Source organism: Homo sapiens, chromosome 10 (genome assembly GCF_000001405.40).
Source record: "Homo sapiens chromosome 10, GRCh38.p14 Primary Assembly".
Taxonomy (NCBI): domain Eukaryota; kingdom Metazoa; phylum Chordata; class Mammalia; order Primates; family Hominidae; genus Homo; species Homo sapiens.
Window position 1 is genome coordinate 68,760,839 of NC_000010.11, and position 12,395 is coordinate 68,773,233.

The following is a 12,395-nucleotide window of genomic DNA, read 5'->3' on the forward strand; positions in this document are numbered from 1 at the left end:
GGGCGACAGAGTTTGGCTCTGTTTCAAAAAAAACAAAAAACAAAAAAAAAAAAAACACACAAAATATAATTGTTAATTGTAGCTAGTTTGTTTCCTATTTCAATATCCGCTGCCCCCCGCCCCCCGCCACCTTTTTTTTTTCCGTGTTTTTCTGCTCCATATATTCAGGTAAATGACCTCCGAAAAGAATTAGAAAGTCGAGCTCTTAGTTCCAAAGGATTAAAATCCCAGTTAATAGCCCGATTGACAAAACAGCTTAAAGTAGAGGAACAAAAAGAAGAACAGAAGGAGTTAGAGAAATCTGAAAAAGAAGAGGATGAGGATGATGATAGGAAATCTGAAGACGATAAAGAGGTATGTACTCAATCTATTATTATACTCTATGGTATTAATATTCATGTATAGGGTGTTCTTGGAATACGTGAGTTAAGATTATGTGTGTGTAAGCTTTTATTTATTTAATTTAATTAATTAATTTATTTATTTGAGACTGAGTCTCGTTCTGTTGCCCAGGCTGGAGTGCAGTGGAGTGATCTCAGCTCACTGCAACCTCCGCATCCCAGGTTCAAGCTATTCTCCTGCCTCAGCCTCCCGAGTAGCTGAGATTACAGGCGCCCGCCACTACGCCTGGCTAATTTTTTGTATTTTTAGTAGAGACGGGGTTTCACCATGTTGGCAGGCTAGTCTCGAACTCCTGACCTTGTGATTCGCCTGCCTCAGCCTCCCAAAGTGCTGGGATTACAGGCGTGAGCCACCGTGCCCAGCTATTTATTTATTTTTTGAGATGGAGTTTCGCTCTTGTTGCCTAGGAGGGAGTGCAATGGCACGATCTTGGCTCACCACAACCTCCACCTCCCAGGTTCAAGCAATTCTCCTGCCTTGGCCTCCCAAGTAGCTGGGATTACAGGCATGCACCACTACGCCTGGCTAATTTTGTGTTTTTAGTAGAGAAGGTGTTTTTCCATGTTGGTCAGGCTGGTCTCGAACTCCTGACCTCAGGTGATCCGCTTACCTCAGCCTCTCAAAGTGCTGAGGTTACAGGCGTGAGCCACTGTGCCCGGCCATGCATATGCGTTTATTAAGGTGCAATTTACTTATTATAAAATTCAACCTTTTTTGTGAACAGTTCTGTGAGTTTTTACAAATGCATATAGTTATATAACCACCACCAACACCACAATGAAGATACAAAACAGTTCTAGGTAAAAAGGCCGGGAGCGGTGGCTCATGCCTGTAATCCCAGCACTTTGGGAGGCCGAGGTGGGCGGATCACGAGGTCAGGAGATCGAGACCGTCCTGGCTAACATGGTAAAACCCCGTCTTTACTAAAATTACAAAAAATTAGCTGGGCGTGGTTGCAGGCGCCTGTAGTCCCAGCTACTGGGGAGGCTGAGGCAGGACAATGGCCTGAACCCGGGAGGCGGAGCTTGCAGTGAGCCCAGATTGCGCCACTGCACTCCAGCCTGGGCGACAGAGTGAGACTCTGTCTAAAAAAAAAAACAAAACAAAAAACAAACAAAAAAAAAACAGTTCTAGGTAAATGGCTCAGAAATTGAGTTCTAGTGAAGTGCTTATTCCAGAATCTGTCTACTTCTAAAACAGTATGTTTGATTGAGTCAAACCTTGAGACTCAGACTATTTATTCAAGCTGTTTTATGCTTCAGTTTTATGTCCAATAGAATAACTCCCGGATGCATAAGCCTGTTACTTGTTTTCTGAATTTGAAATATAGGGATATCAGAAGTGTGTTTTAGCACCAGTAATTGGATAAGCCACATAATCAGTTTCTAAATCTTATACATTGTAAAGTACACATCATTATTTATGAAGAATTACTTCCAGAAATGTTTGCTCTAAATCTGATTGTGAGAAAACAGATAAATCTAGAATGTGAAATTTTCTTTTTTAAATTTTTTATTTTTTTTAAATTTTTTTAGAATGTGAAAAATTCTCGAAGCTTTCCTAAGCTTTTCAAAAAATGGTCCATATAATGAAAGATAAAAGAAAGAAGTGGTTAAAGGGATCTCTTAGATTAAAGGAGGCTAGTGAGACATAACAACCAAATGAACTAAGTGAAACCTGACTAGATCCTGGATAGGCAAAAATAAAAGTCATAGAGAGTATTTTTGGGACAGTTGGAGAAATTTTATTATGGATATGGATGTGACATTAGATAATATTAAAGCAGTGTTAAATTTCTTGAATGTGATAATGGTTTTGTGATTGTGTAAGATAATTACCTTGTTCTTAGGTGATGCATGGACTTGTGATTTCTTTTTTTTTAATGTATTTTATTTTTTAACTTTATTTGTTTATTTATTTATTTATTTTGAGACGGAGTCTCGCCCTGTTGCCAGGTTGGAGTGCAGTGGTGCGATCTCGGCTCACTGCAGCCTCTGCCTCCTGGGTTCAAGCTATTCTTCTGCCTCAGCCTCCTGAGGAGCTGGGACTACAGGCATGCACCACCATGCCCAGCTAATTTTTGTATTTTTAGTAGAGACGGGGTTTTGTCATGTTGGCCAGGATGGTCTCAATCTCTTGACCTCGTGATCCACCCGCCTCAGCCTCCCAAAGTGCTGGTATTACAGGCTGGTATTACATTGCGCCCAGCCTTATTTTTATTTTTTGAGACGGAGTCTCTCTCTGTTGCCCAGGCTGCAGTGGAGTGGCACGATCTCGGCTCAGTGCAACTTCTGCCTCCTGGGTTCAAGCGATTCTTGTACCTCAGCCTCCCGAGTAGCTGGGATTACAGGCGCCTGCCACCATGCCTGGCTAATTTTTGTATTTTTAGTAGAGATGGGGTTTCGCCATGTTAGCCAGGCTGGTCTCAAACTCCTGATCTCAGGTGATCTACCCACCTTGGCCTCCCAAAGTGCTGGGATTACAGGTGTGAGCCACCGTGCTCAGCCCTCAATGAGTTATTTTCGTGATGAAATTGTCCCAGAGTTGGACGGTGGGAGTTCTTTCAAGTTATGTGCCCTTTTGACATACCTTCATCACTTTTTGAGGACTTCTTTACTTACTAGCATTTTAAAGCATTTCAGTTTTATTTTGTGCTATCCTTGTCCTAGTTCAGGAATCAGTCATTTCCCCAGGAAGCCCTGGTTCCTTTTTAGTGAAGAATGGTATTTAGAATCCAAGATATGCTCATTGCAATTAGGTTGCTGCTCCCAACCCCTTTCAGTGAACAGAGATATGGAAGATAGATATATAGATAAGTAGATAGCTAACACTTACAAATATTTAAATCTATATTTATTTCTATATCTTACACATATTGAAAGCTGTGAATTTACACAGGTGCCTCTAATTCTTCCAGTGATCTGACTCTACCCTATGCTATCTCTGCATGGATTATTGTCCTTGCTCCATCTGGGTTTCAATATTTAGTAATGAAGCAGCTCATCATCACTGGGCAGTTGTGGCTCCACCACCCTGCCAGCCTCCGTCTCCTGTGTAGACATTAACCTTCCTTGAAAAGAGTGCTTTAGAACTGAATTGTTCAGGATAGATGGAGACAACTTCGTGAGACCCCATCTCTACAAAAAAAAAAAAAAATTTAGCCGAGCATGGTCACATGTGGCTGTAGTCTCAGCTACTGGGGAGGATTGCTTGAACCCAGGAGGTCAACGCTATTTGTGAGCTATGATCACACCACTACTCTCTAGCCAGGGTGACAGAGTGAGACCCTGTCTCAAAACAAAAAAAAAAAAGTTGCATGTATTGAAATGCACAAACCCTTACCAAGTTGCAGATCTTTTCCATCTTCCATCCAGTCTCTTTTTGGATTGGCTTTTAGCAGGCCTGATTCTCCTTTCCCACGGCCACTTCTATTAGAGAAGCTGAAGAATTGCTACAGATAGGGTCAGATACATGATCTATCTACCAATCAGATACTCACTTTCTGAATTTTGAATGTTAAGATCATGATGCAGAATTCCTGTGTCTCTTGTAACATTTTCTTTTAGCACACTTTAAAAATAGTAATTTAAAATTTTCATCTGCCTTGTGGTGGTGTCTTTCTGGCCCACTTTCATCATCTACAGGGATGTAATTCTGCTGCTGCTTCTCACTCTCTTTTTTAAAACATACTAAATTTGTATGGGATTTGACCTCAATACTTGAATCATTTTTGTGTGAATTTAGATTGTCCGAATTTTATAAACGTAGTTTCTTTCAGATAGCTTTTCTAAATTCATAGAGTTCTGCTCTTACGTTTTGTTGTTTTCTTGTTTTGTCAGAAACACATGTTGGCTTGCTTTCTGAAGTTTGCTGTTCCTTTTGCCCTTCATCACTTTTTACCTGGGCGTTCTCCTATGTCTTTGTTGTCCCTCTCCTAGTCCCAGCAGTTTCTCCTCAGTATAGGGCCCTGGTAAATGAGCTTTGCAAGTTTGTAAGGCTAGAGTGGCCTAGGCCTCTTCAGATCTTAAAATAAATTCTCCACTCACTCTCTTGTAAGGGGTGAAATTTTGCCTAGTTTCAGCTGCTGCACTTTCCAGTAAATACCTACTGGCTGTTTTTTGGTTTTCTTGTTCTCCCATTGCTTCCTTATGCTTTCTTTGGACACATTCATCAGTAACACATGGGTCTTTTGGCCTTTTCCCACCCATTTGTATATTGGTTTGTGGGGATACCTTGTCACTTAGTTTTGTTATGAATGCTATCAGTTTTTGATTTTTATATCTATATTGCTTTGTCTTTTTAGTGTGAGGTTTCAGGAAGATCTAAAACCTATGCTACCACTACTATTTTCCGAGAATTTTCTAATTTATATAATCTCAATATAGATAATTTTTCCCCCTCTTTACAAGGCAGTTTCTTATGCTGGGAAATCCAAAAGAGAGTTAGGAGCCATCAAAGCTTACTACTCTTAGTGAATTTGAGCTTTCCTCCCTTCTCAACGCTTATGGTTTGTATAAGTACCATGAAGAGTCATGGGAATTTTGTTCCTTTTATTTATGAGATATATATTCAATATATATTCATCTTGCACATGTATATACATCCTACTTGCAGATTTAACCTTGACTTGAAATTTGAAATATTTAGGAAGAAGAAAGGAAACGTCAAGAGGAAATAGAACGCCAGCGTCGAGAAAGAAGATATATTTTGCCTGATGAACCGGCCATCATTGTACATCCAAATTGGGCTGCAAAAAGTGGCAAGTTTGATTGTAGCATCATGTCTTTGAGTGTCCTATTGGACTACAGATTAGAGGATAATAAAGAACATTCATTTGAGGTAATGTTTTAAGTTTGAAATAAGATCCATATAAGGTCCACACATTATGACTAGTTAATATATCTCTATCTCTGAAATCTTTTTTCTTTGTTTTTCGCTTTTCGTGGTTTTTTTTGTTTTGTTTTGTTTTTGTTTTTTTTTGAGACAGAGTTTCACTCTGTTACCCATGCTGGAGTGCATTGGCATGATGGTGGCTCACTGCAACCTCTGTCTCCCGGGTTCAAGCAATTCTCCTACCTCAGCCTCCTGAGTAGCTGGGATTACAGGCACCTGCCACCACACCCAGCTAATTTTTGCATTTTTAGTAGAGACGGGGTTTCACCATGTTGGCCAGCCTGGTCTCGAACTCCTGACCTCAGGTGATCTGCCCGCCTCAGCCTCCCAAAGTGTTGAGATTACAGGTGTGAGCCACCATGCCCGTATCTCTGAAATCTCTTTGAATGCCTCTTTCATTCTTTCTTTTTTGAGACGGAGTTCACTCTTATTGTCCAGGCTGGAGTGCAGTGATATGATATCTGCTCACTGCAACCTCCGCCTCCCGGGTTCAAGCAGTTCTCCTGCCTCAGCCTCCCGAGTAGCTGAGATTACAGGCATGAGCCACCATGCCCAGCTAATTTTGTATTTTTAGTAGAGACGGGGTTTCTCCATGTTGGTCACGCTGGTCTCGAACTCCAACCTCAGGTGATCTGCCCGCCTCAGCCTCCCAAAGTGCTGGGATTACAGGCCTGAGCCACCGTGTCTGGCCCTGAATGCCTTTTCATTGCTTGTTTTTTTGAGTTTCTGTTGTTTTTTTGTTGTAGTCTACTTCTTGGGAAAAAATAGATGATTTGTCCTCTAACTTTCCTTACAGACTCACTTTTGCTGATTGCATTTCTGTGGTATGGTTTATGTGTTCCTCTGTCCTCTGTATTTCATGTAAATTGATTGTTGGATCTAAATTTTTAATCAAGTCCAGTTCTGTTTTTTCCCTAAGACGCTTTCATAAGTAGTGTGGTATGTTCTTTCTTCAGGATATCCATAATGTCTAGTTGTCTCTTTTGGGGATGAGGTAATGCTTTATTATTTTCTCTAGAATTAAAATAGCATTTAATACCATTTAAAGAGATAAAAAATTTAACTTGCGTTTGAGTTGTAAGAGAAAATAATTGTTTAACTTTTCATTATTAATCTATTTTTTGTATCATTATTTTATGTATTTATTTATTTTTGAGACAGTCTCACTTTGTTGCCCAGAATGGAATACGATGGCACAATCTGAGCTCACTGCAACCTCTGCCTCCCAGGCTCAAGCGATTCTCCTGCCTCAGCCTCCCGGGTAGCTGAGATTACAGGCATCTGCCACAATGCCTGGCTAATTTTTTGTATTTTTAGTAGGGACAGGGTCTCAAACTCCTGACCTCAAGTGATCCAACTGCCTCAGCTTCTCAAATTGCTGAGATTACAGGCGTGAGCCAACTGCACCCGGCCTATTTATTTATTTATTGAGACAGAGTCTCCCTCTGTCACCCAGGCTGGAGTGCAGTGGCTCGATGTTGGCTCACTGCAACCTCCGCCTCCCAGGTTTGAGCAGTTCCCCTCCCTCAGCCTCCCAAGTAGCCGGAATTACAGTTGCGCACTGCCAGCCCCGGCTAATTTTTGCATGTTGGCCAGTCTGATCTTGAACTCTTGACCTCAGGTGATCCACTCTCCTTGGCTTCCCAAAGTGCTGGGATTATAGGCATGAGCCATTTCACCTAGCCTGTATCATTATTTAGAGCAGCTTTACATCATGTAGTTTAGTTTACTTTACAACATGTTTGTTTTCAAAACAATTGAAAACTTTTATCTTTAAGTGTAATTGCTTCACTCCTTAAAAATAGAATTTCCAACATATTAATTTTGTAGTGTCCTGTACAAAATCATATCTAAAATTATTACTGTGTTTAATTATTGTATCTTATCAACATATCTTATGTTCTTTTATTTTCTAAATTATATTGGAAAAATCAATCATGCTTCTTTGAACCAGAAGGTCATTGTTTACCAACTGGTAAGATGAAAATCAAGGATGACTAGAGACCTTTGAGGATTACTGAGGCAATTATGAAACATAAAGTCCATGCTTATTGGTGTTTAAAACATGTTATAAATATTAAATTATGTCCAAGTTGTTGGGATTTTTTTTTCCAATGTTAATTATTCCAATAAGCAGATGTCCTTAAAATCAGATGCTATATGATGTTATCTTTTTTTTTTTAAGCAGTTGCCTGGCTGGGTGCAGTGGCTCATGCCTGTAATCACAGCACTTTGGGAGGCTGAGGCAGGTGGATCACCTGAGGTCAGGAGTTTGAGACCAGCCTGGCCAACATCGTGAAACCCCATCTCTACTAAAAATACAAAAAATTAGCCAGGCTAGGTGATAGGCGCCTGTAATCCCAGCTACTCAGGACGCTGAGGCAGGAGGATCTCTTGAACGCAGCGGGCAGAGGTTGTCGTGAGCCAAGATTGTGCCACTGCACTGCAGCCTGGGCAACAGAGCGAGACTTTGTCTCAAAAAATAAAAAAAGTAAGCAGTTGCCATAAATTGAAGTAATTCCTAATAGTGCCATCCCTGTAATAATCACTTAATAAATAAATACATAGGCTGGGCACAGTCCCTACGGCACTTTGAGGGGCTGAGGTGGGAGGATTGTGTGAGCCCAGGAGTCTGAGGCCAGCCTGGGCCAACATAGTGAGACTCCCATCTCAATTTGAAATAAAAAAGATTGGGCAACTAATGAAAAATAGGCTAAAATAAATTATAGTTATAATAAATTGCATTATCCTTTATAATCAGAAAATGATCTGATTAACATATTTTAGCAAATATATCAGATTTGCAAAGATGACACATTTAAGGGCTGTGGTCAACCATTTCAAGTTTTAACCCTTTTTTTGAGACAGTCTCACCCTGTCGCCCAGGCTGTAGTGTAATGGCATGATCTTGGCTCACTGCAACGTCCACGTCCCAGATTGAAGCAATTCTCCTGCCTCGACGTCCCGAGTAGCCCTGGGATTACAGGCGTGTGCCTACACACCCAGCTAATTTTTGTATTTTTAGTAAAGACAAGTTTCACCATGTTGACCAGGCTGGTCTCGAAGTCCCGACCTCGTGATCCACCCATCTCAGCCTCCTGAAGTGCTGGGATTACAGGCACGAACCACCATGCGTGGCCCGTTTTAGCCCTTTTTAAGAGTCTGTTGAAAGCAATGGACTTTAGCCTTAGAAATTGGTACATAAGGCTGGGTGCAGTGGCTCACGCCTGTAATCCCAGCACTTCGGCAGTCTGAGGCAGGCGGATCGCCTGAGTTCAGGAGTTCAAGACCAGCCTGACCAACATGGAGAAACCCCATCTCTACTAAAAATACTAAATTAGCTGGGCGTGGTGGCGCGTACGTGTAATCCCAGCTACTCGGGAGGCTGAGGCAGGAGAATTGCTTGAACCTGGGAGGCGGAGGTTGCGGTGAGCCAAGATAGTGCCATTGCACTCCAGCCTGAGCAACAAGAGTGAAACTCCATCTCAAAGAAAAAATAAATAGGTACATAACAATTTATAATATAGGCCAGGCGTGGTGGCTCACGCCTTTAATCCTAGCACTTTGAGAGGCCGAGGCGGGGGGATCATGAGGCCAGGAGATCGAGACCATCCTGGCTAACACGGTGAAACCTCGTCTCTACTAAAAATAAAAAAAATTAGCCAGGCGTGGTGGCAGGCGCTTGTAGGCCCAGCTACTGGGGAGGCTGAGGCAGGAGAATGGTGTGAATTGGCGAGGCGGAGCTTGCAGTGAGCCGAAATTCCGCCACTGCACTCCAGCCTTGGTGACAGAGCAAGACTCTGTCTCAAAAAAAAAAAAAAAAAAAAAATTATATAGTTTTAGGTTTATGCGTATGCTATAGCCCATTATCTGTGGATGCTTGCATAGTAATAGATGCTCCCTATTCAGGGCTTAAAATTGTTTCCCTAATCCAGAATTTTCTTCTAGATACCAATATGGCTTATTTCCTTATTGCCTTCTGGTTACTTTTTAAATGTCACCTTATCAGAGAGGCCTTGTCTTACTATTCTCTCTTGTTATACTCTAGGTGTTTATCCTGCTTGTTTTTCATATAATTTGATGTTGATTTGGTTGTTCATTTTCTTAAAAACCAGGCAGCCCTAGAACCAGAATAGGTTAACAGAGACTTCATGATTTGGTTATTTATTCTCTCCACTAGCTGGATGATAGGAGGGGTTTTTATCAGCTTTCTTCAGTGCTGTATCCCTAATGCCTAAAACAGGCCCTGGTACATACCAGGCATTTGACTTAAAACTTATTGAGTAAATGAATAAGGTACACTTATCATGAAGATTAACGGTTGGTTGGCTTCGCGGGGTGGCTCACACCTGTAATCGCAGCACTTTGGGAGACCAAGGCAGGCGGATCACCTGAGGTCAGGAGTTCAAGACCAGCCTGGCCAACATGATGAAACTCCATCTCTACTGAAAATACAAAAATTAGCTGGGCTTGGTGGCACAAGCCTGTAATCTCAGCCACCCGGGAGACTGAGGCAGGTGAATGGCTTGAACTCGGGAAGCAGAGGTTGCAGTGAGCCCACATCATGCCACTGCACTCCAGTTTGGGTGACAGAGGAAGACTCTGTCTAGAAAAAAATAAAAATAAAAAAGATTAATGGTTGTGTTAAAATGTTTGATAAGTGGCTAGGCGCGGTGGCTTACGCCTGTAATCCCAGCACTTTGGGAGGCCGAGGCGGGCAGATCACAAGGTCAGGAGATCGAGACCATCCTGGCTGACATGGTGAAACCCTGTCTCTACTAAAAATACAAAAAAATTAGCCGGGCGTGGTGGCGGGCGCCTGTAGTCCCAGCTACTTAGCAGGCTGAGGCAGGAGAATGGCGTGAACCCGGGAGGTGGAGCTTGCTGTGAGCCAAGATCGTGCCGCTGCACTCCAGCCTGGGCGACAGAGCGAGACTCCATCTCAAAAAAAAAAAAGTTTGATAAGTTTACATAATCGTTGTATGTGGCAAGTTTTTATTTGCTAAATTACTCTGCTAGCTTTATTATTTCTGTTGAAATTTGGCTAGGTTCATGTTGATATCTTTTTATAGGTTTCATTGTTTGCGGAACTTTTCAACGAAATGCTTCAAAGAGATTTTGGTGTCCGTATATACAAATCATTACTGTCTCTTCCTGAGAAAGAGGACAAAAAAGAAAAGGATAAAAAAAGCAAAAAAGATGAGAGAAAAGATAAAAAAGAAGAAAGAGATGATGAAACTGATGAACCAAAACCCAAACGGAGAAAATCAGGCGATGATAAAGATAAAAAAGAAGATAGAGATGAAAGGAAGGTCTGTAATAACAACCTGCTTTAGAAGCTTTCAGTTACTCTTCTAGGTTATAAAGGTTGATGTTGATTTCCATCAGAATATTAGATGTAAAAGCCAAACTGAAAGATTTTACTATATTAGAAAATCAAGTCTTTGAGACCATCACAGCTAACACAGTGAAACCTCGTCTCCACTAAAGATCCAAAAAATTAGCCTGACATGATGGCACATGCCTATAGTCCTAGCTATTGGGGAGGCAGAGGCAGGAGAATTGCTTAAACCTGGGAGGTGGAGGTTGCAGTGAGCCAAGCTTGCACCACTGCACTCCAGCCTGGGTGACATAGCGAGACTCCATCTCAAAAAAAAAGATAAGAAATTCAGATCTTCAAATTAAGCCAATATGAGCATCTACAGCTAGTTTTCTAATACTTTATTCTTAAAATTTTTTTTTCCTTTTTCTGAGACGGAGTCTTGCTCTGTTGACCAGGCTTGCTGAAGTGCAGTGGCGTAATCTTGGCTCACTGCAACCTCTCCCTCCCAGGTTCAAGCAGTTCTCCTGCCTCAGTCTCCCAAGTAGCTGAGACTACAGGTGCACACCACCTTGCCCAGCTAATTTTTTTGTTTGTTTGTTTTTTGTTTTTTTGAGGCAGGTTTTCACCATGTTGGCCAGGCTTGAACTCCTGACCTCAAGCGCTCTGCCCACCTCAGCCTCCCAAAGTGCTGGTATTACAGATGTGAGCCACCGCACCCAGCCTAATTATTATTATACATTTATAGTATGGGCATAGTGGCTCGCTGCTATAATCCCAGCACATTGGGAGTCCAAGGTGGACAGATTGCTTGACTCCAGTAGTTCAAGACCATCCTGGACAACATGGTGAAACCCCCTCTCTACAAAAATTAGGAAAATTAGCTGGACATGGTGGCATGTGCCTGTGGTCCCAGCTACTTGGGAGGGTGAGGCAGGAGGATTGCCTGAACCCAGGAGTTGGAGGCTGCAGTAAGCCCAGATTGTGCCACTGCACTCCAGCCTGAGCAACAAAGTGAGACTGTGTCTCAAAAAAAACAAAAAAAAAAAAGTAATTTGCAATGTAAAACTTTTAAATAACTTCAGTGGATTTACTATTTTTCAGTTTTAGTAATTTAATGTGTGGTGGGATTTCTTGCTTAATTTAAAACCATTTTAAGCCAGGCACAGTGGCTCACACCTGTAATCCCAGCACTTTGGGAAGCTGAGGTGGGTGGATCACTTGAACCTGGGAGGTGGAGGTTGCAGTGAAGGGAAATTGTGCCACTGCACTCCAGTCTGGGCGACAGAGCCAGACTCCATCTCAAAAAAAAAAAAACCATATATATATGTAATAATATATAATAATTGTTATGATAATATAATAATAATATAACTACTGGCTGTGGTGGCTCACGCCTATAATCCTAGCCCTTCAGAAGGCCCAGGCCAGTGGATCGCTTGAGCCCACGGGTTGGAGACCAGCGTGGGCAATATGGCAAAACCCCGTCTTCTAAAAATAAGTAAATAAATAATAAAGGCATTTTAAATTATAGAAAGAAGATAAAAGAAAAGATGATTCTAAAGATGATGATGAAACTGAAGAAGATAACAATCAAGATGAATATGACCCTATGGAAGCAGAAGAAGCTGAGGATGAAGAAGATGGTATGATTGAAATTTATTTATTACTTCTTAGAGTTAAGAATACATTTTTTGTTTGCTGACATTGTATTCACTGAAATCTATACTTTTAACATTTTTTTCTTTAGAATAGAAAGAGTAATATACTCTTCAGTGAG

At 41.5% G+C, this 12,395-nt stretch overlaps 1 protein-coding gene across 4 annotated transcripts in view, besides 2 other annotated features; it reads left to right on the plus strand.

Annotated features, from left to right (window-relative positions):
* The window catches only part of CCAR1 (cell division cycle and apoptosis regulator 1), a 71,139-nt gene that overhangs the window by 39,600 nt on the left and 19,144 nt on the right, over positions 1-12,395 (plus strand). For all 4 annotated transcript variants that reach the window (NR_104262.2, NM_001282959.2, NM_018237.4 and 1 more), the window contains 4 exons: positions 169-354; positions 5,050-5,241; positions 10,368-10,607; positions 12,150-12,261. Coding sequence is in view for 3 of the 4 variants with exons in the window: in NM_001282959.2 (NP_001269888.1) it covers positions 169-354; positions 5,050-5,241; positions 10,368-10,607; positions 12,150-12,261 (730 nt within the window). In the remaining variant the exon portion in view is untranslated. The remainder of the gene's footprint in view (positions 1-168; positions 355-5,049; positions 5,242-10,367; positions 10,608-12,149; positions 12,262-12,395) is intronic.
* Positions 452-621: an enhancer, noted in NCBI's record as "experimental_16866 CRE fragment used in MPRA reporter constructs". NCBI's record gives its function as "activates a minimal promoter by MPRAs in K562 erythroleukemia cells, with activity observed for both the introgressed and non-introgressed 10:70521132 variant alleles {active_cell/tissue: K562}" and the evidence as "EXISTENCE:reporter gene assay evidence [ECO:0000049][PMID:34662402]".
* Positions 7,152-7,321: an enhancer, noted in NCBI's record as "experimental_16874 CRE fragment used in MPRA reporter constructs". NCBI's record gives its function as "activates a minimal promoter by MPRAs in K562 erythroleukemia cells, with activity observed for the introgressed 10:70527832 variant allele {active_cell/tissue: K562}" and the evidence as "EXISTENCE:reporter gene assay evidence [ECO:0000049][PMID:34662402]".